Source organism: Homo sapiens, chromosome 4 (assembly GCF_000001405.40).
Source record: "Homo sapiens chromosome 4, GRCh38.p14 Primary Assembly".
In the NCBI taxonomy this organism is placed as follows: domain Eukaryota; kingdom Metazoa; phylum Chordata; class Mammalia; order Primates; family Hominidae; genus Homo; species Homo sapiens.
Genome location: NC_000004.12, coordinates 13,902,015 through 13,928,389, shown reverse-complemented (window position 1 = coordinate 13,928,389; position 26,375 = coordinate 13,902,015). Strand labels below are relative to the sequence as shown.

General features: G+C 41.1%; 2 long non-coding RNA genes across 2 annotated transcripts in view, besides 2 other annotated features; both read right to left on the bottom strand.

Moving 5' to 3' along the window:
* LINC01182 (long intergenic non-protein coding RNA 1182) overlaps positions 1-26,375 on the bottom strand; it is a 276,050-nt gene that overhangs the window by 2,839 nt on the left and 246,836 nt on the right. The window lies entirely within an intron of this gene.
* LOC107986182 (uncharacterized) overlaps positions 1-26,375 on the bottom strand; it is a 103,624-nt gene that overhangs the window by 8,109 nt on the left and 69,140 nt on the right. The window lies entirely within an intron of this gene.
* Positions 20,225-21,424: an enhancer, noted in NCBI's record as "CDK7 strongly-dependent group 2 enhancer chr4:13908590-13909789 (GRCh37/hg19 assembly coordinates)". NCBI's record gives its function as "activates an origin of replication core promoter dependent on BRD2, BRD4, P300/CBP, MED14 and CDK7 cofactors, with strong dependence on CDK7, by STARR-seq in HCT116 cells {active_cell/tissue: HCT116}" and the evidence as "EXISTENCE:reporter gene assay evidence [ECO:0000049][PMID:35650434]".
* Positions 22,119-23,318: an enhancer, noted in NCBI's record as "P300/CBP strongly-dependent group 1 enhancer chr4:13906696-13907895 (GRCh37/hg19 assembly coordinates)". NCBI's record gives its function as "activates an origin of replication core promoter dependent on BRD2, BRD4, P300/CBP, MED14 and CDK7 cofactors, with strong dependence on P300/CBP, by STARR-seq in HCT116 cells {active_cell/tissue: HCT116}" and the evidence as "EXISTENCE:reporter gene assay evidence [ECO:0000049][PMID:35650434]".

The following is a 26,375-nucleotide window of genomic DNA, read 5'->3' as shown; positions in this document are numbered from 1 at the left end:
AATGGCTAAGTAGGGCACGACAAAAAGGCAGCCTGTTCCTGGAAGATATGGGACTCCTCTGACGGGCAACTTTGGCTTGGGGACCCACAATCGTCTTCACTGAAACTTCCATTGACTGCACAGCTGTCGGAGACTTCTCCCACGCAACCTTCCTACTTTCCCTCCCTGCACCATGGAGTCAGACCAGCATTGAAGTCTGGTGGCTCCTCCAGGCTCCTTCAGCATCTTCCACATGTTCCCTCACCAACCTGTATCTTACTTCCGATCTCCCAGAACCCAAACTAGCACATTGGAACTTATCCAAATCTCTGTCTATTTTAATTCGTTTATTAGGTCCCCCAGTAAAATGCTACCTATTTGAAAGAAAGGCTCTTATTAGACTCGCTTGCTGCCAAGTCCACTGCACCTAGCACCATCCTGGCATAGAGTAGGTGCTCACCAATATTTGTCCAATTAAGTAATCTTCTTCTAGAACCTTGCGCATAGGTCTATTGCCACATGGACACATCATCCTGAAATTATCTATTCACCCTCTTCCATCTCTCACTAGACTTCGGAATTCCTTGAAAATATTCTACACATGGGGTTTGGTCCCAGCATATAGCCCAGAGCCTGAGGCACAGTAATAGCTCAATTAATGTTTGCTAAATTGACATTCCAATTGCTCGTTCTTCACTCACTTCCTCACACCTTAAACTCCCTACACACCCAGGCAACATAAGCTGTGTCCTTACCTGTCTTCCATAATGTAGTCTGCTTTACTCCAGGCAGTTCCTCCTCCTGTGTCCTATATCTCTATAACTGTCTTCACTATTCTCCCAGTTTTCCATTTTTATTCTCCATCACTAGCCTTCTATCTCCCCACAGAATTCCAGGCCATTCACTCACCAAGTCCTCTCTTCTCACCTCCTAAATAAGTGCTCATTTAATGCACTTTTAATTTTCTCCAATTCTACTGTCTCTACTCTGGTCTAAGCTCCCCTTGATTAATACAAAACATCCTCCTGATAGGTTCCTCTTTCTCTTTGTTTGCATCCTTCCTATATATTCCCCACCCAGCAGCCAGATGCCCTTTCTAAAAGGCAAATCTGATCAGGTCTCACAGTGCTGAAAGCCCTTCAAGTCTCAATGGTCTATTGAGGAGGCCTTTCAGGGCTTGAACAAATCCACCCACTCCTGCTTCGTGCCCATCCTCACTGCACACACAGTTGCCTTATCTTCCAGTCAAACAGAGCAGTCTGCAATGCACCAAATCTACTCTGTCTTTCTTGAAGAATTGTCTTCCCCTCGCTCACCCCCACCTTCATCATGCTAATTCCTGTTGATGTCATTTCTTCCAAGAAGTCTTCTGCAGACAGGCCCAGTCTGGATAAAGTGGTTTTTCTTTGAATTCCTATGGGAATCCAAACTACTTCCCTTATGGTACTTATTACACTGGTTTGTTTAGTGGTCTGGCCCCTAATGTGTGACCTTGATTTCTGAAACAAAGATTTGATAAGTCGCCACATTACATCCAATGCTTTAAAAGTTTCCCTTTTTCAGACGTGAAGGACCTCTTCAAGGAGAACTATAAACCACTGCTCAATGAAATAAAAGAAGATACAAACAAATGGAAGAACATTCCATGCTCATGGGTAGGAAGAATCAATATCGTGAAAATGGCCATACTGCCCAAGGTAATTTATAGATTCAATGCCATCCCCATAAAGCTACCAATCACTTTCTTCACAGAATTGGAAAAAACTACTTTAAAGTTCATATGGAACCAAAAAAGAGCCCGCATCGCCAAGTCAATCCTAAGCCAAAAGAACAAAGCTGGAGGCATCACACTACCTGACTTCAAACTATACTACAAGGCTACAGTAACCAAAACAGCATGGTACTGGTACCAAAACAGAGATATAGATCAATGGAACAGAATAGAGCCCTCAGAAATAATGCCACATATCTACAACTAACTGATCTTTGACAAACCTGAGAAAAACAAGCACTGGGGAAAGGATTCCCTATTTAATAAATGGTGCTGGGAAAACTGGCTAGCCATATGGAGAAAGCTGAAACTGGATCCCTTCCTTACACCTTACACAAAAATCAATTCAAGATGGATTAAAGACTTAAACGTTAGACCTAAAACCATAAAAACCCTAGAAGAAAACCTAGGCATTACCATTCAGGACATAGGCATGGGCAAGGACTTCATGGCTAAAACACCAAAAGTAATGGCAACAAAAGACAAAATTGACAAATGGAATCTAATTTAACTAAAGAGTTTCTGCACAGCAAAAGAAACTACCATCAGAGTGAACAGGCAACCTACAAAATGGGAGAAAATGTTCGCAACCTACTCATCTGACAAAGGGATAATATCCAGAATCTACAATGAACTCAAACAAATTTGCAAGAAAAAAACAAACAACCCCATCAAAAAGTGGGCAAAGGACATGAACAGACACTTCTTAAAAGAAGACATTTATGCAGCCAAAAAACACATGAATAAATGCTCACCATTACTGGCCATCAGAGAAATGCAAATCAAAACCACAATGAGATACCATCTCACACCAGTTAGAATGGCAATCATTAAAAAGTCAGGAAACAACAGGTGCTGGAGAGGATGTGGAGAAATAGGAACGCTTTTACACTGTTGGTGGAACTGTAAACTAGTTCAACCCTTGTGGAAGTCAGTGTGGCGATTCCTCAGGGATCTAGAATTAGAAATACCATTTGACCCAGCCATCCCATTACTGGGTATATACCCAAAGGACTATAAATCATGCTGCTATAAAGACACATGCACAAGTATGTTTATTGCGGCACTATTCACAATAGCAAAGACTTGGAACCAACCCAAATGTCCAACAATCATAGACTGGATTAAGAAAATGTGGCACATATACACCATGGAATACTATGCAGCCATAAAAAATGATGAGTTCATGTCCTTTGTAGGGACATGGATGAAATTGGAAATCATCATTCTCAGTAAACTATCGCGAGGACAAAAAACCAAACACCACATGTTCTCACTCATAGGTGGGAATTGAACAATGAGAACACATGGACACAGGAAGGGGAACATCACACTCTGGGGACTGTTGTGGGGTGGGGGGAGTGGGGAGGGATAGCATTAGGAGATATACCTAATGCTAAATGACGAGTTAATGGGTGCAGCACACCAGCATGGCACATGTATACATATGTAACTAACCTGCACATTGTGCACATGTACCCTAAAACTAAAGTATAATAATAATAATAATAATAATAATAATAATAATAATAATAATAAAATAAAATAAATAAAATTCACCAATGAAAAAAATAAATAAATAAAAAATAAAAATTTCCCTTTTTCCTGCAAATATGGGTGCTCCCAGCCACCTTGCAAGCTTAATCCTTCCACACCTGCAAGATCTTACCACTCCCAGCTGTAAGCAGAGCCTCACCCATGTGCTGCCTCAACTACCTCTCCTGCTCTTCCTTCTGGTCAACTCATCTCCATCCTTAGCTACCCATCTCTCTTCCATGAAGTCTTCAGCTCTCTTTCTCTCTTCTATTTAGAATTGATTACCTCTTCTTCCCCTATGGCCCCATGTTATCTGTTCACATTTCCATCATTTACTTCATCATGTTTTTTGGTGTATAATTCTCTGTCTGCCACTGGTCTATAAACTTTTCAAGGTTAGAGACAAGGTCTCATTCAGCTTTTTTTTTTTTATCAGTGCCTGCTATACACAGGGAAGGTGCTCAGTACATATTCATTGAATCAACAAATGAGTAAACAACTCCATCCATTCTTCAGGGCTCCTCAATTTTTACCTCTCCAATTATTCTCCCTTTTGTGAACTACAATAGATCAGATTGCCTTATTTTCCGAGCTCTATACAGACAGCACTATAAAATCTTGCTTATTAGGTTCTAAACATCTAAAGAGCAGGAATAAAACCTCACAGCCTCTCTGTCTGTACCGCCATGCCTTGCACAATATTCTTTTGCTGATTGATTGTTACTGCTCAATCTACTATTCACTTTTGATTTCTTTAAAAAAGAAAACCTTCTCAGAAATCAAACAACTAAAATCACAAAATGTCCTTTTCTAAAAATAACACATTCCCAAAACACTTGAGGCAGAGCTGTGCTTTTTCTCCTCTCCCATTAATGAGAGAAAGATGCTGCTTCCTCTGTTTTCATTTTGTCTGCATCATGTCTGTGTTGCCTGGAGATTTGTAGCTGTTGTTTCAAGAAAGATCAAGTGACAATGGGAGATAGACGGTCTTCTTGATTAAAAAGTGGCACTCAGATACATCAGCTTCCTCCAAATTCAAGAAGGAGAAGCTTGTTTCACAGCTAGTGCCTGCTTCAGGGGCACGCCTCCCTGGGGTCAGCTGAAGCTTGCTGTCCGCTTTCCAGGTCTGTCCAAGCAAGACCTGTACTGTAATAACATGTAAAATAAAATTTAAGCCTCAAGGGAGGGGTTAGAAATTGCCACTGATTGACTCAGGACCATCCTTTGAGAGACAATGAAAAAACTGGCATAGCATGGTTAGACTAATCTGCATTCTGAAAAGTCCTAGTCCTGAAAGTGACTAACTGTGTGACCTGGGAAAGTTCCTTAGCCTCTCTAAGCTTCAATGTCATCACTTGGAGAACAGAGCTGATGAAAACACACCTGATGGAGTTGCTGATGCCATGGGATGAGATGATACAAAGTGTTTGGCATCACCTCTCACTTAGCGTTTATTAATGGTCATCATTATCATGAAGTAGCCAGAACCCTGCCTATTGTAACAGCTATCAGTTGTTGAATACTTACTCTGTGCTGTGTACCAGGCTCACTTTTTCTATGTCAGTTTTCTTACTTATACATCTTATAACAGCTGTTCAAGCAGATAGTGTCCTAGCTGGTGACTCTGAGAATAACTGGCTGCATTCCCTATCCCTGTGCTCAGCCTATGCATGGGAAATATTTGGGACTTGGTAAATACATTTTGGAATGATGTTGAATGAGTTCACAATTGACATAGTTGTCTAGGGACTGCCAAACCATGGACCGCTTCCCCTATCTAGCATAGAGTGTACTTGTTATGCTTAGAATTATGTCCCCTAAAGAGTTATGTTTGACCATTAACTCCCAGTACCTGTGAATGTGACCTTATTTGGAAATAGGGTTTTTGTAGATGTAATAAGGTAAGAGGAGATCATACTGGATTAGGGGCTACCCCTAATCTTATAAGAACCATAGCAGGTGTTCTCATAAGAAGGTGAACATTTAGACACAAATGAACAGAGGCACACGGAGAGAACTCCACATGGTGATGGAGGCAGAGACTGAAGTAGCACGTGCAGGAGCCAGGAGATGCCAAGGATAGGTGGCAACCACCAGAAGCCAGAAGGGAGGCACGGAGGGACCCTTCTTTAGAGTTTCTGGAGGAGCATGATCCTGCTGATCCTTTGATTTGGGGCTTCTGGCCTTCATAACTGTAACAGAGTACATTTCTGTTTTTTTAATCACTCAGTTTATGACAATTCGTTAAGGAATCTCTCAAAAATGAATACAGCACTTTATTCCTTTCTCGGCACAGCAAAATGAAATTTCAGGGCACCGACAGAGAGGGTTTAACACCCCTTATTCTCTTTCAAAAGAGCTGAAAAAGCACCCAGTTACTATTTATACTACTCCCAGTTCTCTGTCTGAAGATGAGACTTTTCAGTCATGCCAACAGTTCTGGGTTTCAGAACTTAAGGGCACACCATGGAGGGATTGCTGGTGAGTTTAGCTAAAGCTCTGCAGCCCCACAGGGTTTCTGTTCCAAGTAATAGAAGAGAGAAAAGAGAGGCAGAAATTATGAGTACACCTCAATTCCCTCATGTAGAACACTAAGCAGCAGCTTTCTCCCTAAATGTTTCTGTAAAAATATATATTTTAAAACATCATCAGTTGATCTCACGTGCTACCCAGGAGAAGGGAAAATCATGACGTGTAAGTGTTAGAGAGTTTCAACACCTCTCCTTCCCACCAAAAAGGGGACTGTTCTCAGGGGCTTGCCTTCTGAGGGCCCTGTCCCCCTAGACTAGGAGCCTCATGATAGAGGAACAGCCCCTTTTTGTCCTTAAAAAGATCTGGGGATGGGAAGGTTGGAGACAGAAAGGGTCCTCCCAGGATCTGAAAACCTAAAGATTGTCTGCTCCTTTCTCTTTCTACCAAAGTCTTTGAAGACACAGAGAGAAGCTTTCCCTGACTTTCCCATCAGATAATATTCATTGAGGGTTAAATCCTCCAAAAAAGCCCATTCATACACTGACCAGGTTTTAATCATGCCAGATGTGCTGCTCAAAACCACAAGCTTAAAAATGCTTTCAGTTTAACGGGACAGAATAAAATGAACAGAGTATTTTTCAAACCTGCCTAGTTCCAGGACAATTGCTGCCAATCAGCCTCACTCCTTGCAATCTCTTTGGATCCAGCATTGACCTTGGGTCTCTGAGTAACTATTTGCTGACTCTCTACACAGCCTGGTATGTATGTTTTCTTCCCAACAGGGCTACTTGAAAGCCCCCATTTGGCCCAAGTCCAAGTCCCCAAATTCCCTCTGATTAGCTCTTGGCCTTCACCCTACTAAGCATGAGATCTGCTGAGTAGAATGGCTGCTGTACCCATCCTGACTCTGGCAATGGGAGCTTCTGATTTTGCTGAAGAGAGGGAGAGGGTCTCAGGAGAGCAGTTTGGTTCTCCAAAGCTTCAACTTGGATGAAGTCTTCAAGCAATAGTCTTCAAGGAACTGCTCAGAAACAAAGTTCTCTTTCATTGCATCATTTAGATTTTAAGGACAATATGAGCCTCTAAGAGAATTGACTGGGCCAGACTCTAGAGAAATGTTTACATTATCTTGGCTAAACTGTTGGTGGTGGTTAGAAGAAGAAGGAATCAATAAATGAAAAGAGAGAAAAAAGGGGAAAATGACTGGATCTATAGGAGCAGCAGCTATTGCAAATCAGATTTGGAAAAGAGCAAGGAACTACATTTCTATCTTGGAAAAGGGACACTCAGATATCAGTAAGCAATCAGGTCGTGGCCAGTTCAAATATTCTGAAGTGTTCTGATAAGAATTTAATAAGGACCACCTCACACATGCACATGCATGCACACACACACACACACACACACAAACATACCTTTCCCTAACTGAAGCATGCAGTTAGGGAATCTCTGGAGTCCAGAAGATGAGTCAGCCTAAATGACTCAGCAAGGAGGAACCAGCACTGAGGTTGTTGGTGGAAACACAGCTGGAGCAAATGCAGATGGGACTGTGAAGACATTGTGTGAGGGCGAGTGAGGATGTGGCTGGAGTTCCTTAGTAGTGACCATCATCCTGTTACCATAACAATAACATAAACTTCCCAGGAGGAGCCTGAGGCAGGTCGTTTCTGAGCCCAAGTTAAGTTCATCTCCCAAATGGGTTGATAATGGCAACTTTCCTGCCTATTGACGGGACTCTTGGAAAGATTGTATGAGACAATGGTTGCTAAGGAACTTAGAAAAGTACCAATTTCAAACATGTGGAAAGGATTATAGCATTCTCATGACAAGTTCTCCACCACCTACTGAAGGCACAATGCCTGCTTATGGGAAGAAATGGGGCATCAAAAATTTGAGGTGTGGGCTGGGTGAATCAAGGTACTTGCAGAGTGAATCACTGCAAGCTCAGGTGACTTCGTTATGCAACGTCAGGTGAAAATGTATTTGGTGAAATCGGGTGGAATTTCCCTCGAACCTTGGGATTGTAAGCCAGAAGAGCACCCTGTGAAAGCTGAGTCACAGCGGGGTGAGTTAAAGAGCCCTCAAAGAAGAAATCAGAAGAATTGGATCTCATCCCCAGCATGGCAAAGCCTGTGCCTGTGCCATCAGCTCTCTCTGCTTCTGTTTTCTCACTTGTAAAATAAAAGTGTTGTCTCATAATCTTTTCTGCCGGTAATACTTTTTGAGTGTGTGTGTGCACACATGTATGCGTGCAAGGCCCTGCTTTATGCTGATGCAATGCTTTGAAAAACATCAGCTTCTCTTCTACAACATACACTCTGACATCCACTCAGCTCCCCAATCTCTGCAGCTCCAAAGTGTACTCAAAGAGTCAAGAAGTACAGAGACATCATCCTGATTTGCTAAGTCGGGGCAGGGCACCCCTTCCCCCAGACTCCACCTTTATGGGCTATATAAACTTGGGCAAGTTACTCTCTCTGGGCCTCATGTACTTTATTTGTAAAACAAAGATAGTAACTGTACCTAACTACAGACTTGGAATGAGAGTCCAATAAGATACTTCACACAAATCATTCAGCACAATGCGTGAGTCTTTAAAAAGACTAAAACAACATTCTCCCAGCAATAAATATTATCACAATGCTTATTATCAATCCTGCTATTACTGTCATAGTATTGTATATTCCTGTATCAAGATATATCCCTCCAAATTTCAGCTGTGTGTTTACTTAAATGGAGAAATCCATGAAGGCAAGGATTGGGCCTGTCCCATTCTTCACTTTATCCTCCATCCTCTGCTGAATACGTGGCTGGTGGCAGGTGCTCAATATTTGTCCTGTTAGATGAATGAAGGGTGTGAAGTAGAGGTTCTCAACCCTGGCTGCACATCAGAGTCGCCTGGATACATTTAAAATCCTGATGTCCACCCCCATCTCCAGAAATTCTAATTTAATTGATAAAGATTAGAACCCTGGCATTAACAGTTTTTAAAGGGTCCCCAGAGTCTCTAGTTGGCAGGAGGAGGTGAAGCTCACTTGTATAGAGTCTCAAAGATTAGTAACGCCATTGATTTCCAAACTTTTCCTTTTATAATAAAACCATTTTTTTTCCACAACAAAGTCTTAGATTGAAATCTACCTCATAAAAGAGAATGACGCAGCATCCTCTGGTAGAAGTGCTGGAGGTGGGCCCTGGGGCCCTCCATCCAATTGTGTGGGTCCAAGGTGGTCCACAAAGCCCACAAGCCCCTGGAGACACAACTTCCTAGGATTCGAACTGTCCTCTTCTGAGCTCTCAGCGGTATCTTCTCACTGCACTGCACTGCCAGCCTTGCTGACTCCTCACGTAACATGATGCTATCCTCACCCTGAAACTTGGACTAAGACATACCGCAACTGTTTTCCTTTTACAGCCAAATTCAGACACTCAGCTCCCAGTGAAAATCATTCCCAGGCCTTGTGGATTGAGGAGAGAAAAAAACCGCCTAAAATATATAAATAATTCAAGGCTGAGTTTATTCATGATGCTATGTTTTCTCCAGGCAGCAGTTTGTATAATCTCTCTTACACTGCCAGTTGGGCAGCCTCCGTAGCATTTATTACTGCAGACAACCCGTTAGAAGCTGTTTTGATTTACACATCTACATTCTATTACAGAGATAAGTTTAACAGCACACTGCAGTTTCTGCTGCTGACAATGTAGGAGGGGAAAGAAAAAGAAAAAAAAAGACAGTGGAGAAAAGAATAGGAAATTATTTCTGCCATTCCAGAGGACAGCAAGGAAAATGGGCCTGATATTTTAATGACACATTTAATTAGTTATCTGGAACACAGACACACACATACTACACTCACATACAACAACATATGTTTATTGCATCATTATGTCTTCATAAGAGAGCAAATGTTTATTGAACATCTACTAAGTGCCAACTTACTCTATTAGGTCAGAAGGATATATTGGTGAATAAACGAGACAGTTGTTTGTCTGCTTTGTTATTATTGTTTGCTACCACCAAACAATGTTTCCCCAACAACGCTTAGCCCAGCGTTGATACATGATAGATACTCGATGCCTGTTGAGTGAATGAGTGAATTCAAAATGATAAATAAAATGAAGCAATATTGCAACTGTTCAGTTATCTGTCTTCATGGCAATGCTATATAAGATGAACCACACAAAACCTCATGCAACAATAAGCCTTTATTGTTCATGCATCGAGGATGTTAAAGCCGGTTGGCTCTGCTCATCTGTGCTCATCAGCCAAATAGCTCAGAAATGGCTCACAGTCCACTGATCAGTTCAGGCTTCTGCTGGGTCCAGTGGGATGACTCAGCTCTGCTCCATGTGTTTCTCATCCTTCAGCAAGCTACAGCCAGCATGTTCTTATGGCCAGGATGGAGAGACAGAGAGTAAGTGTAATAGAAACACATGGGCCTCTTGAAGTCTAGACTTGGAACTAGGAAACCATGACTTCTTGAAGTGACTTGATAAAACAAATCACAGAGCCAGCCCAGATTCAAGACATGGGTAAAAGAGTCCATCTTTAGCATGAAGATCTGCAAAGTCACATAGCAGAGACAAGGCTAAAGAAATTAAGAATTGAAACCACCTTTGCAATCTGCCACAGGAGCCCAGCAAATTAGACAAAAGGCAGTAATGAAAACCCATTTCTCAAATGAAATCTATTGCCTTTTCCAGTATCCAAGTGTATCCCCACCCAGCCCCTGAACAAGGCTCTTTGGTGAGTTTAGGGAAGATGCAGATATCTCTCTGAGAATAGTTCATTGTGTCCTGAACGTCCTCCCCTCTTTGACCCTAGGTCTTCACCCAGGCCCTACCTGGGGTTGACACCTGACTGTGATCCATTGTCCTTGCTTGCCCTAGTTCTTCCTGCTCCATTTTAACCCATCACGTTAGGAGACAGAATGTGTTTATAGTACAATGATGAGACAGTATTGTAGCTACCATATATTGGGAGCTTACCACGTGTCAGGGCCTGTGCTGAAGAACTTTGCTTACATTATCTCATTTAATTCTTATAATGACTCTATGAGTTAGTTATAATTATCCCTCCTTTACCGCTAAAAAAGAATATTCACAATACTGAAAGAGATTAAATAACTTGTCCAAGGTTTCACAGCTAGTTATTAATCAAGCCAGGTTTCAGCCCTAATTTATCTGAATGCAAAGTCCATGTCCTTAATCACTATGCTATGCTCCCCCTTCCTTAAACCAGTAGTTCTACTTCACTAAACCATTATGCTCACATTGGTAAAGAATTACTTCCTTAAAGCAAAGAGATCATGATATTCTGCCCAGTCCCCTCCTATGAGACACTGGAAAAAAAGGGTTGAAGTTCCCACAACAATTTGAATTATTTTCCCCTAGAGAGAAGAGGTTGGAGGGTGGGAAGGGCAGGTCATTAAGTTTTCAGTCTTGTGTAACTTCTACCGGTTTCCACCAGAATATCCTAGGCTTGTTAGAGTTAGTACCAATGAGATCATAGATCATAGATTCCATCAGGAGGAAGAGGGATTATACAAAGACTTAGTGGTGCTTATTGGTATAACATGCACTAGGTTAAATCCAACTGGCCCAAAAAGAAATGGAATATATGATCTCATTTGCATATTATCTGTCTTTGCATAATCCCAGGTCCAGAAGGAGGCTGGTTCTGGATGAAAGAGAAGCATAAGAATTCCATCCACACTATTGCAAAAGCTTCAAGTTCCTACAGCAGCACCTTAATGTGGACCAATGGGAGAATGTAACGCAGTGGAATAAATGGAAGCTTATTCCAAAGCCAAGCCATAGAAGAGCACCAAATTTCCCACAGATTGTCTGTTCAATCCCCAGCATCGACAGAGTAATGTCCAGCCTCCCTCCTCACCTCCGCTTGATATTTACACCCAACGAACAATGGTCAAATGGAAATCTACTGCTTAGTTTATAGGTTTTCGGGCTTGTGACAGTTCCACTGTAGATCCCTAATCAAAGTTGGATTCAAGAGCATGGCTTAGGTTTAAAGCCCTGCGAGGAGCAAGCTTAGGCATGCTGGAGAAGAAAGATATATAACCAGTCAACAGCACAACTTGGTTCACTGAGCCAGAAGACTGTACAGGTGAGAATGAAAAACCTGCTTCACCCCACTCAAGAGGGAGTTCAGTGGGCACTGACTTACACTGAGGTTGGATGGAATCCTCAGTATGAAATGTTTACTAAGTCGGCAAAAAAGATGAAAGAGAGCCGATTATGTTCAAGCACAAGAAGAAGTGGAGATTAGAATCCTGCTTTTAAAGTACAGTGAAGGCTGGGCACAGTGGCTCATGCCTGTAATCCCAGCACTTTGGGGGGCCGAGGTGGATGGATCACCAGAGGTCGGGAGTTCGAGACCAGCCTGACCAACATGGAGAAACCCCATCTCTACTAAAATTACAAAAATTAGCCAGGCTTGATGGCACATGCCTGTAATCACAGCCGCTTGGGAGGCTGAAGCAGGAGAATTGCTTGAACCCGAGGAGGCAGAGGTTGTGGTAAGCCAAGATCATGCCATTGCACTCCAGCCTGGGCAACAAGAGTGAAACTCTGTCTCAAAAAAAAAAAATTAAAATTAAAAAATAAAGTGCAGCGAACTCACTCACTAATAAACATGTCCCAGAAAGTGCTAAGTCTGGATCAATCTGACTGGCAATCCCTCCCTCCTTGAGACAGAGTGAACGAGGGTGTAGGAAGAGGAACATACTCTTCGTCCTCAGCATCCCTCCCATGAAGAGGATGGGCAGAAGTCACCTAAACCTTGAAAAGATGCTATACTATGAAGAAATGGACATCAGCATGGCATCTCTCAGCAAAGCCAAGGGAAGTGTTGCTAATCCTGAAGACTACAAAAAAACCCGCCAGATGTATGAGAAAGCAGAGAGGAACAAGCTAATAGGATTGAGGGGCAGCCTATTCATTGTAGCTTTTGCCTCCTGGGAAGCCAACCTGTCTTTCAGGCACAGCTGTAAAGTGTGGGGGCAAAGTTGGGTCCATGAGAGAATTCAGAGGCATAGCTAGAGGAGCAGATGCCAGAGGGGTCTGCAGATGAGGCAGTAGCTGAGGTGTGAGCCAAATGGGAGGCAAAGGACCAGAAAGAGGAGGGAGGAGATCACCAGAGAGGACAAAAGGGAGGTGGTGGGGACTCACTCGACATAGGACATCTTCCCTTGCAGGTGGATTTCTACCTCCCCTGGAGGGCTCAGGCCAGGGTAGAATGGACAGTGTCCAAAGGATGCTTAATGAACTCCTCATTTTGATTTCTTTGTTCTATGAAGGCATGTGCAACTGCATTAGTATGCTCAGCAAAAGGCCTCCTTTTGTTGTGGCAGGTGCTGCAGGAATTCAGAAAGCTGATGTTTCGTAAAATCATGAGCCTGCAGAGAGCCCTGGGAGGTCAGAAAACCCAAGCCCCTGCCTCTCACATCTGTTCTATCAGTGGAATGGTGCTGCAGTTTTAAAATCATGTTTATTGTACTTCATCTTCTTATTTTAAGAGAGACACACTGGGTGTACTTTTGTTGGAGAAAAGGTGAAGCAAGCAGTAAAGCACAGAGAAGATGGGAAAAACAGTTTCTAATCTTACAGCCCAATGGCAGCCACTGTTAATATTTCAGCAAAGCCCCTGCTACACTTTCTCTCTCACACCCATGGGGTATGGGTGTGGTATGTGTGTGTGTGTGTGTGTGTGTTGTAAGTATGTAAAAAGAAAGTGGGAATTTTTCTGTTATTCCAGAATTAACAAATGAAACTGTGAACAAAGAGGCATTAAGTGCTACACATTCTAAATAAAGCCAAACACCTTCCTTGAGTCTTTCCATGAGGTATATAATCCAGCAATCCTACTTCTGCATATGTATCCAAAGCAATCGAAAAAGTATCTTGAAAAGATACCTGTACTCCCGTGTTCACTGCAGCATTATTCATAATAGCTGAGATATGGAAACTCTATGTCCACTGAGGGATGAATGGATAAAGAAATTGTGGTATATACATGCAATGGAATATTTCTCAGTCTTAACAAAGAAGGAAATCCTGCCATCTGTGACAACAGGTATGGAACTGTAGGAGATTATGCTAAGTGATATAAGTCAGGCATAGGAAGACAAATAATGCATTACCTCACTTAAACATGAAATTTAAAATAGCCAAACTCATAGAAGAAGAGAGTATGATGATGTTGCCAGGGGCTGGTGCAGGGGCAGGCAGGAATGGGGAGACATCTGTCAAAGGGACAAAGTTTTGTTATTTAGGATAAATAAGTTCTGGATATCTAATGTAAAGCATAGTACCTATAGCTAAAAATACAATATTATATTTTTTAATTTGCTAAGAGTGTAGGCTTACTTTAAGTGTTCTACCACCAAAAAAAAAAATTATTATTATAGTAAAAATAACTAAAAGAAACTTTGAGAGGTGATGGATATGTCAGTCTTTTACCTTGGTGGTGGTGATGGTTTCACAGCTGTATATGTATCCTCAAACTCATCAAGTTATGAACATTAAATATGTACAGCCTTTTACATGTCAATCATACCTCAATAAAGTGGTTTTTAAAAAGAGGTGGCTGAACCTCACTGCTACCTGCAGCCATAATTCAGCAACACCACCAACCACCACCTTACATTCTGTAAAAGTAGACTGGAGAAAGGGGCCATCTATGATTGCAGGGTGGAAATGATGGTCTAGAGCACATCTGAGAGCTAAACAGATGGTCTTCCTAAATAATAATTCATAAAGATTGGGAAGACTTTCAAGAAGGGAATGCTGATTTCTCATTACCATTGAGCACCTGATTAGAATGTAGCCTCGTTGATTTGCTCTGTTCCTACTTAAGTAGGAAAATAGAGCCTCACTGAGAGAGCGGGGCAGAGGGAGACTGTCCATGGAGCAGCCTGTTCCTTCATTGTCATGGTAGAGAGGAGCCCACCTTCTGGAGGTCAAGTGGACACTGAAGAAAAGACTCACACAAGCATGTGGGCTGCCAAGGAGGAGAACCCAAGCAGCAGGAGGCTGAGAATGAACCACAAGGAGGCATCTGAGAGAGGGCTGGGATCTGGAGTTACATCTTCTTTCTGCAGTTGGGAGGGGGCTCAGAAAAGTGACCAAGCACTGACCACGAGGGAGCCACAGAGATGGAAACCTACCAGAGAGGGCTATAAGGACCTTCAGTGTGAGCCAGAAAAAGAAAACCACTAATAGAGTGCACTGTGCCTGCCATGAGTTAAATAAGCAATGCCTGTCCTTGGCCTCTTTCTCCTCCACTCACCCACACACTGCAGCACCTATCTCTATACAAGGGGTTGAGGAGGACTGTTCCCAGAGAAAGGATACAGGAGGAAGGGTAAAGAGCAGATGAGGTCCCTCCCAACCACCTCCCCCAAGCCTCAAGCCCAGATAGCACTGGAGTGACAGGAAAAGATGAGACTGGTCTCTTAAGCCAGAAGAACTTGTGCAACCAAGGGGAATGGGAAATTATGAAATCTGCTACACTATGAGTGAGAGATTTAATACAGCATTATTGGGAACAGGGACTAGGGAAAAAATCCTTTGATGTTTGTAACTCAGCAAGTTTATATACTTCAATAAACCCAAAATACACACACATACACACACACACACACACACACACACACACACACCTGCATATACATATACAATTTTTAAAATCCAGTCAAAGTAAAATATAGCCAAAAGCCACTTTATTTTTTCACACCCTGCCTTTCTTCCTTGACCTTGTGATCCTCCCTTCAGTGAAGTTAAAGAATTTAAACTTAAACCTGGTGGAACTTTATATTATTTTGAGCCTTGAGAGGAATGTGGCTATGTGGCCTGGGTCATGTGGAGCATACAGCTGCAACTTCTGCTTCTCCAATCATAGATTAACTCCCTTACTTATTCTTGTACTATAGAAGATTAGGAAAGACCAAAAGGCATGAGAGATAGGACGATTAGGAAAGACCAAAAGGCATGAGAGATAGGACCCCAGGAATCTATTACCCCTCCTTATGGAATGTTAAAGCAATCTACCTTGGAATGTAGGAACCTGTAACCAATGAAATCACTGTAACATATGTATTGGTCTTATAAGAAAAATATTGCGACTGTTAAATTTCTCCATCTCTGCCTATGTAAGTGAAAGCCTTAATTTCCCTACTTTGGAACACTGACCCATTCTTTTGGAATCCGTGTTTCCTCCTGGGTTGCTACCCTGAAGTTTTGCACTTGAATAAACTCTGTACTTAATCATATTTTCTGAATCTCATTATTTAAGATTGATGCTTCTCAGCACTTGCATGAAATCTCATGCAATTTCCATCATTTCTCTATTCACTTTCACATATAAAAAAGTTCATAGTCTCTCTCTCAACCAACTTAAAGCTCTTCTCCACTCCACAGTGCATACATGCCTTAGGCTGGGAACCTGAGCGAGGAAGGACATTGTGGTTTCAAGGCAGGTTTCTTCACTCTCACTTGCTTCTTCAATCCACATTGTCCCTCACTTTCTAACTGTTGTTTGTAACTCTCTAAAGAGATTAAAGGGCACGGTGGCTTTGTAACATGTCAGCTTAGCTAAGCGGGAACTCAATTCCCAGAGTTTCATCTCCATGAGGTTCCAGGTTGAAGAGGCTATTAGAAAAATGTACACGAGATATAAAAGACCATAGTGAAGAAACAGCCATGCTTAGCACCTTCAGGTTTGGTGTAGGGTGCTAGACACTGGCAGTGCATGCATGTGGCAGCTCACTGATCTACCAGCTTGTGTTGCTGGTATGGGGCAGCACCTAGGCTTACAGCTCCTACATTGCATTGCTGTGTGGGGCAGGACCTGGGCTTACAGCTCTTAGAGTGTGTTGCTACTTTGGGGCAGCTCCCGAGCTTGTAGCTCCTCTAGCTCTCCCTGGATCTCTTCCTTCAGCTTCTTCAAGCCCTGGGTCAGGTATATGTGCAACTCCATGTGAAGAGTACCTGTTTCCCCATTAAGTTTGGAGGCAGTGGGAGACAGACAAATGCTTCAGCTTGTTATGGTGGAATCCAGTACCTCTCATGGGTTTCCCTTGTTCTCCCAAATACCTGTCCATCTCCCCTCTCAGCTGCTGGCTTGGGTGACCTATAGTGACTTCAGGCTCAACATCAGACACAGACCACTAGTCTTGCATGACATTCCCACCAGCTCCCATAACAGTGTAAGATCTAATTCCTACTCATAGTGGTTCTGCTTCTCTGATTGAGCCCTAATGGATACTCAATTATAAAGAGCATCCAATAAAGATACTCTTTAAATTTATAAATATTTCTTGATAAAGAAGAACCAATTCCTGCTGCTTCAGTGCTTGCAGTAGCTGGTCATGCACAACAGTCTTTCAGGCCCTGCCTTCCTTTCTACTTACACATTATCTCATTTGGTCACTTCATCTCTCCAGGTAGCATCCTCTTAGAAAACTTTTACAGTGCAGCCTATAACTAGCTCCCTTCCATAAAGTTCACTCCTGGCATACCAGGAACACACATAAATCTTAGGCTAACTAAATTCTGCAACTATCATAACTTCTCAACATAGTCCTCTATAAACATTTTCAATCCAAGATCAGCTACTGGTGCTTATGTTCCCCAAATACCAACAGAAACATATTAAGTTCTACAGTTAGTTTTCTTTGGCAAATTGTTGTTTAGTAAATACATCTTCCCCACATGGTAGAGTTTATTTTTCCAGTCTCATTGATGTAGAGCAAGCCATCTGACTTGTTTTGGCTAATCAATTACAGAAAGAAGCAACACTGTGCCAATTCTGAGCCAAGATCTTAAGAGACACTACATCTTTCAGCTAATTCTTGTATTTATCCCACCATGTCCTGGGCAACCACTGGTTGCAGAAAAACAAGACACAGGGAACAGACTGAAACCCAATCTGCATCTAGGAACAAGACTGACAAAACCACAGTCTGAAATAGAGCTGCCAAGAGGAGCTCAGCTTAGATCTTCCAAACTGCAGCCTGCCTGCAACTTCATGAAAATAAATGTTTATTTTAATAACAATAAGATTATGAGATTGTTACACAGCATTATTATGGTGATAGCTGACTGGGACACTTTGCTTATACTGAAGTGAGAAGGAAGTATTTGCCTCCAGTAATTCTCCCCAGGTCATTTTCCCAGATATCCAATCTCCTATCAATTCTCAGCATCCTTTATATTGAGGTGGGTGATGAGCTGATGCTGAGACAACCAGCTCTGTGATGTCTTCCTTGCAAATGCTTAATTGATGGCTTAGCACATCATTTTAGAAAATGAGAAGATTTGGGCACTTATTGTTTAGTTTGGGCACTGGAGTCAAATCTGAGAAGATAGAATAAGTTATGTTTACTATTCTCCTTCACACATACAAAATTTGGATCATACTATATATATAGATCTACAACCTGACTGCTTTCACTTAAAAATAGATTGCAACATTTTTCCATGACACTCAATTTTCTTCTAGGCCTTCAATTTTCTCTTTCTTTGAAAACCTATTAGAGAATAAATGAGAATATCAAGTGGAGTAAGAATGGCAGAATTATGCACTTGGGCCCTTCCCACCTGCATTTGTAGGGTTTTCCCTGGGCATTCTGAGTGTTTATGTAAACTGAGAGAACCTCAGTGTTACCCACTTGTAACTGAGGTTCTCTTGGTTTACATAAGCACTCAGAATTCCCAGGGAAATATGAGGTTCTGCCACTTGTTTCTTTTCTTTCCCCATTTGGTTAAGACTAGGTACAAACACATAGTCAATGATAATAAATTAATTAAGCTACACTGAATTAAATGGAAATAAAATATACTGAATTGAATTGAACTGTAAAGAAAACAAAAAAAGAGGTGTAATATTAGTCTGCACTAAATCCAGGACGAAGAGTCTCCCAAAACAAAATGTGGCAGGTGATTTTAAAGAAGATTTGTTTTTACTCTCAATAACTTCCGAAAAGCAGTAAAGAAAAACATCCTCCAAATGTTTAGAGGTTTCTCTCTTCATCCCACACCAGGTCTTTAGATCTTTAAAGGGAAAAAAAAAAGTTTATGACAAATGATTTATTTTGCTAAAAGAATAAAGTTAATTTATATCTCCAAAGGGCATTATAGATGAAATTGCAATATTTCCATGTTCCCAAAATTTTTACTCTTTTTTTTCCACTCTAACACTACTCCCAAAGAAAAAACTATTGCCTTGAAAGTTTTTCAAAATATCCTATCACCCTACCTTTGTCCTTGGTCATTTCCAACCATGCAGAGCTTTTAATGTCAGGACCATCAACATGAAAATGCATGGCTATTATCAAAAGATGTTTTTCTAAGCCTACATATTCACTGTAAAGCATCCCAGAATCCTCTAGAGTGAATGTTAATAAGCACAATAGAGTTGGAATTGATGGTCTTGAACTCTTACCTTTCTACACTGATCTTCAGGAACTGTAATGTGAAAAGCACAAAGCTTCCCTCAACAGCTACTATACAATCATGGTAGTGTTAATAATAACAACTATCAATCAATTATACAAGCTAGACTTGATTCCATCATTTAACTCTTATGACCAACCACACTCTGTGAAAGAGACTCTTAACATCTGAACCATATAGATGAGCAAAGGGAGGGTTTAACGACTTGCCTAAGAGAACAAAGACAGTAACTGATGGAGCCAACAATGATATTCTTGCTTCTGACTCCAAAATCCACACTCAAGTTTTGTGCCTGAAACCCTATCTCTCTTTGAGAGAGAATAAGAATAATATTAGCTATCATTTATTAAGCCTTTCTGAGTAGGCCCTACCTTACTTGTTGCTTATAGATATACTCAATTTGAACTTATTCCACATTAGCATCCAAAAAATGCCACATCATTTATTAGTCGAAATCGAGTAAAGTTCATCTGTGAGCCCACAGTGGGAAGAATGGCAGGAAGCCCAGTGGATGTCATTAGTGAGGGGCTCCTCCTCCTCTCTACACTTAAATAAGCACACCATCATAGTTCCTGGCCCAGAACATTTGGGAATGAGCCCTGTAGACATCACCTTGTCTATGTTACTTCTAAATTGTACTGCCCAGGGTCTGGCCTCTGTGGGTTTGCACCTGGCCACACCCTATCCAGGGTAATACATGTCAACAGTGCCCAGGCCTCTGCCATTTTCAGAAACCCCAAACCCCTTTTATCTTCCAAGGCAGATAAATACCCAGCATCAGTGTATATGCCAGTGTTAGGAAACCAGTCTTCTGGGGTTAGTGCTGAAGAACTAACACCTTCTACCATAAAGGCCTGAAAGAGCTACTTTAGGAATTTGAACACACCAAAGGAATCTTCCATCCACCATGAAAAGAAAAAAGAAAAAATATGTATGTGTAAAGGAACTACATTATGCCATACACTTTGCCATGTCCTGCTGTACTTCGCCTACAAAACTGCAAGGTAAAGATTATTATAATTGGTTTTTAAGATGAGTAAACAAAAGATTAGAGAAGTTTTTTTTTTTAAAAAAGTCCCTAAATTGTACAGCTATTTCACTCTTTGCAGACAGCCTGAGGAAAACTTTTAGCTAATCTTAATAATAATTACCATTTCTTGGGCTCTTAGTCTGCACCAAGGCAGTATACTAAGCACTTTATATCCATTAGTTTCCATAACAATTCTATAACTTACTTCATTATCTCCACCTAAGAATGAGAACCACTGGAGCTCAGAGAAGCTAAGTCTTTTGCCCAAGCCACACATCTGGGAATGAGGGAGTCCAGATGTGAGCCTCTATGTTAGAAGTCAAAGTCGGATTCTTAACCCCAGCACAGCACAGCCTCCCCTCAAGGCTTTCAAGGGGAAGTGTGGCCCCAAAAGGACTGCGACTGTAGGGGAGATAGGTGGATAGAGCAGGCAGGGAGAAAAGTGGAAAATACCAGCTAGTATTCCTGGTACTCTCTGCACCTTACCACTGGAGCCCAGGGTACTCATTTTACAGGAATGACTCACAGGACAAAAGAGCAGAGGCCTTGCTTACTTTGTTTTGCAAACCATACCCTGTAGAATGAGAATAATTATTAGTCATCTGCAGGCCTTGTGATGCTTGTAGCTTAGTCATTGAGTAACTATTATAGATCACACATTCCTATTCCTTTGGATAGAGTCTCAAGCCACCTACACAATCCTTAAACAACTTCTCAAAGTCCCTTGAGCTGGGGGTGGTGGAAGACACACTCTCCAGAAGCTATGCATTCTTCCTACTGAGAGATGGACACCTTGTGGCCAGTAGCATAATGAGAAGTCTTTCAGCAGAATGAACAGGCATCCCTCTCCTGCTTTCAATGACCCACACACTCTTCAAATTGTCCTTCCAGCAAGAAAAGATACTCCAAGCAGTTTTAAGTCTTCCTTGGGGGCATAGGAGTTTCATGTCAACTAGGTTTGGTTTACATTTATGAGAGATGCTGCCTTATGTGAATGAGATAGGAAAAGAAAATACAGCAGGCATATGAGTGAGTAAAGGTACCAAATTCTAATAAAAATGATATGAACACATATGTGGATGTCCATACGCGCACACACACACACACACACACATACACACCACTTAATACCTTAATGAAAAGAGTCACAGCAATCTGGTGAATAACTTACTTATTTTGTTTTCCATTTTGAATTCTAAGAGTGGAGCTACTGAGATGACTAAAACAGTTGCTGTCCTTAAAGAACTCAAAGCTTAGTGGGAAGACAGAAACAACATTAATACAATAAAACCAAAGAGGTTATTATGAAAGCTCAGAGGAGAAACATCCAAACCAAATGGAGTTGAAGGTTAGGCAGAGGATGAGAAAGATTTCCTTGAGGCGATGAGAGCAAAGCTGAGCATTTTTTAACACACACCTGTCCAAAGTAGAAGCTGTTAATGCAGTACCCTGGCAATCTAGATGAGCTGGCCCCATGATTGAGGATATCATTCACATATACTATAGCAGTAAAGATGCTTTGAGATTTAAATAATTGAAAGCTTAATATCAACTCATTTAAACAATGAGGAATAATTCTGCCACATAACAAGAGGTGTAGGGAGGCTTCAGATATAATTTATCAACTCAAAGACATCATTTGAAACTCAGTTTTTTCCCCCATTATTCTACTACGAAATCCCAACAGATTTTCCTAACTGTCTTCTGGATCACAAGGTTGCTGCTGCAGTTCTGGACACCACGTGCAGACACAAAAATATTCAGCAAAAGAAGATATCTTTTCCATGTAACAATTTTTTATGAACAAAAGTATTCCCAACAGCTTCCCAGCAGGTTTCCCCCTCATATCTTATTGGTCATAATTGGGATACTATGATTGGATTACTAAGAAGTGAATAGAGGGAGGCTGTGATCTCCCCAAGAAAGGCTTGGAAAGCATGAAGAGGGAGAAGTATTTGTTGACTAGGTAGATACATTTTTTGGTACATTGGGAGTGGGATATGTGGGAAAACAAACCTATCAAACATGGTGCAAACCAAACTCTTCCCATTGGAAATTCTGACGGAACACTGTCTCTGAATTGATTGACTTATTTGAGGGAGTGTGCCATACTCCTGTAAATGGGGCTGTATCAAATGCTAAGAATTCCAGGTCTAAGCAGATAGAGCCAGAGGACTAGTCTTGGTACCATAGAACTTTTATGCTAGAAATGACCAAGAGGTGATGATTTTAGAGATCTGAAAACTGCTCTGCCATTTACTCAATACATGCTTTGTCCTGGCCTTTGCTGCCTGCTGTAAAATGCTTTGCCCATCTGCAGCTTTGGGCCAAGACTGGATGCTTTTCTGAGGGTCCTTCCAGCTCTGAAAGTCATGAATCATCACGATACGTGATGCAGAAAGTCTGATTCATCATGATACGTGACGCAGGTTCCTAATATTCCTCATCACCAGCACTTTATGATATTTCATATTGTTTTTAGCGATCTCACTAGAATGAAGATTCTTGAGTCAGCCTAGCAGATAACCAGACAAATTGTTGGTACTCTAAAACAAAAACAAAACAAAACAAAACACTTAAATTGGTTTTATGACAGAAGAGCTGAAAAGTACATGTGATCTTTCATTTAGTAGCAGCACTCCTGGAAAATCATCTTATATAAATTATTTGAATTTTTAGAAAAACTTGAAGCACATTTTCATCAAAATGTTATTGATCAGGTGTGAAAAGTACAAAACAACTAAATATCCAACTCTAAAGCCTTGTTTATATTAAGTGTGGTATATTCAATGAGTGGATTATAATCATGAAATGTAAATTTTAGAGACCTTATAGCATGTAAAAAAAAAAAGTTACATGTTACAAAGTAAGTGAAAAGTGGTACTAAGTTTTATTTACACTATACTGATAATTATGTAAACCAAACAACCCAAGCATTTAGAAGGGAAGAAAAAAAAACTTAAAGGAAAAAGACAAAATGGTGCATAGTAGCTGCACTGAGAAATAACTCAAAGGTCAATTTTTTTCTTTCTATTTTTTTTGACACTCCCAAAATGTTTATAATGAGTACGCACTGGTTTTATCATGGAGAAACACAATAAAAATCACTGATGGATTATTTGATTATCTTTATTAACTCAGTCTTACCTATTACTGTTGTTGACAGGAATAAATCCAGGTGTTTAAGAATGAATTTCATTGGCAGAGCTTGATATTCCAAACCTTGCTTCATGTTATCAAGCTTTCCTCCCAATCCAAACTTCTCTCTTATTACGGTTCAAACGACAATGCACAAAACTCTTTGCAGAACCTGATCTGGCCCTCCCATCTCCCCATCACCACCCCCTGCTTTTGTTATACCAATAATTCTTCCCAAGGTGCCCTTTCTTCTTTATTCCACTTCTCTCTACTGGCCAATATCAGAAAGCTCAGCTCAAACACTCAATACCTTCCTGAATGATCTTAGGCAAATTATTTCACTTCTCAGAGTTTCCACTTCTAAATTTCTATAAAATGGAAATGATTTTTAAATTGCTTTTTCTCACTACTATTACACAAAAGTTACTGTACCTGGCACATAGTAGGAAAACACACACAAAAATAGAAAGGGCAGCTTTTCCTCTGAATCCCTCTATCCCCAATTTATAGCTGTCTCAGTGCCTGGCACTATAGAAATAACTTAATTCATGTTTATTGGATGAAAAAAATGCCACTAGTGCTGCTACCAGGCCCTGACAGATAAGGACCTGTGGCTGTGTGATTTTTAGATGACTTATCTACATAAGAAAGCACAAAGTAAGAAAGTAGTCTAAAAGAGAGCTTCCTTCCCACATAGAGAAAGAGCTTTATTGACTTTGGTCAGAAACGGACTCTGGAAAACCGCCTGCAGGCATCTCTGTAAGTATTCGCCTACAAAGCAAAGAATATCAGAAAATAAGACGGAAAAATTTCTCATCCTTTTCCTCCCCACCCCCACACAAGGCGCCTCTCTCAAAAGGAGGATTTGGTTGTGTTTTTAAATGGACTTTTGCACTTTTTCAAAAATCAGCTAGATACCAATGCATCCCCACAGCTGAATAAGCACCATTAGGATGAAAGATGCATCCTGGGGGCAGCATAAACTGTGATCCAGCTGCCCCTCCAGCTTGTGCAACTTCTCTTGTTTGATGAGAACAGGGAGGGAGTGGAGTGGCCTGTAGGCTATGTCATGCAGGGTTGGCAGCCTCGAAGTTCATTTTGAAAGGAGAGCCACAGTGCTTGGAGACATTACTGAATTTCAGCTTGTCCACTCAGAAATTCCATTGGTATAGAATGGTGAAGGTGCTTCCATTCTGCTCTTCTAGAGAAACCAACCCTATTCACAGGCAAGGAAAGTAATCCTCTTTCTTCAATCTGCAAAAGTTTGAAGCAGCCCTTTAGCATAATCACTCTTAAAACAAATAAAAATAGAATACTGTACAAGCCATATCATCTTGTTGGTAGATGGTTCTAAGGGAGGAATATTTAATGGGACAGTGAGTTTAGGAAAGAGCAGTTTCTTTTGGTTCTGTGAAAGAAGTGTGCTTGAGAAATGTTATTCCAAATCCATTAAATTATTCATTCATCCATTCATTCAACAAACATTCAAGGATGAACTACTTTTCATTTGCCTTTTTATGTATTCATTCAATAAACATTTACTGAGCACAGAATGGATATACCATGCACTTTCCTGTGTGTTATGAAGAATATAAACAGTTAATGCTTACATTGTTGAGTGATTATGCTATGCCAGTAATTGTCTAAGATCACACAGCTGGTTAGTAGTACAGCCCAGAGTGTATCCCGGAGCCTGACCCCAGGCTCCATGTCTTTGACCTCCTGCTATATTGCCTCGCAAAGATGCAAAACACCCAGATGTTAAGATGCAAGTCCAGGCCTGAAGGAGCTTACACTTTAGGAGTGCTGAGGCATGTAAGTGCCTTAACAGAGGTTCAGGAAAAAGTATCAGGGACGTTCAGGGAAAGAAGAAATGATTTCTTCTTTGCTGAGAAAGAAACTCCTTGGAAATGGTAGGATTTGAGATGATTCATGCTAGACAAATAGAATTGAACAAGCATCAATGGGCAAAAAGGCATTCTAAGCTAAGAAAACTGTATCAGTAACCCACAAATGAAAGAAAGCAAAAGTTGTCAAAGAGAGCAACTAGTTTAGTTTGATTGGAGCATTAACGTATATAAAGAGTGATAGTGGGGAAAATGCCGGACCAGGAAGTTGAGACAAGTGTGTATGTGATACTAATTTTCTCTGAGTACCTTCACAGGTAACATTTACTCTGCTAAAATACATTCTCCAAGCAGGTGCTGACACTTGATGAGGGTATTTGCTTCACTATAATGAGTGACAAAGCATTACTCTAAAAAGCCCATTTAAAAATCACCATCTTAAATATGGGCTAATAGACTCAAGCAACACAGTCGTTCTGGAGTCTAAGTCCTTCTATTTATCTTGAGAAACTGTTGGGATAATAACAGCTCTGTAAGTCTGGACAAGAAATTTGAGGAAAGGCTCTTCTTTCAGGGAAGGTTTGCCTATAGGGTCTGACAAAGAAGCGCCTACTGGGTTCATTTCCAGAGCAGAGAATAATAATAGTGCTGTATTCACAATGTGTCTCCAGTCCACTGTATTCTTCCTTTGTGCCCATGGGACAACACTCTGAGACCTATTTGACCCTCCTAGAGCCTCTGTGTTGGGGGGGGAAGACACTGCTCAGCAGATTCTTGTTTTATGTATCACCATACATGAGAGAACTAGCCTTTGAGTTAACTCAGCATGGATTAGTCCCCAATAGGCACTATGTTACTCAATCTGTGCTCCTACTTTAAGGGAGAGAAGGGACTTTTCAATGGGAAGAGGGTGCACACTCAGTTATATGGTCCATAATTGATGCTCAGACTGTGTAAGAGAAGAGTAAGAAGTGGGAATGGAGAGGGCAAATGTTGTGTTCCGGTGTTTCAGATATGTTCATATGCAAAGAAAGACACTGTGACTCCAAAGAAAAGAATTCAAACAAATAGGTAGACTGAAATCCATATGAATTATGTACTAGGCATTGTGATAAATAATTACATGTGT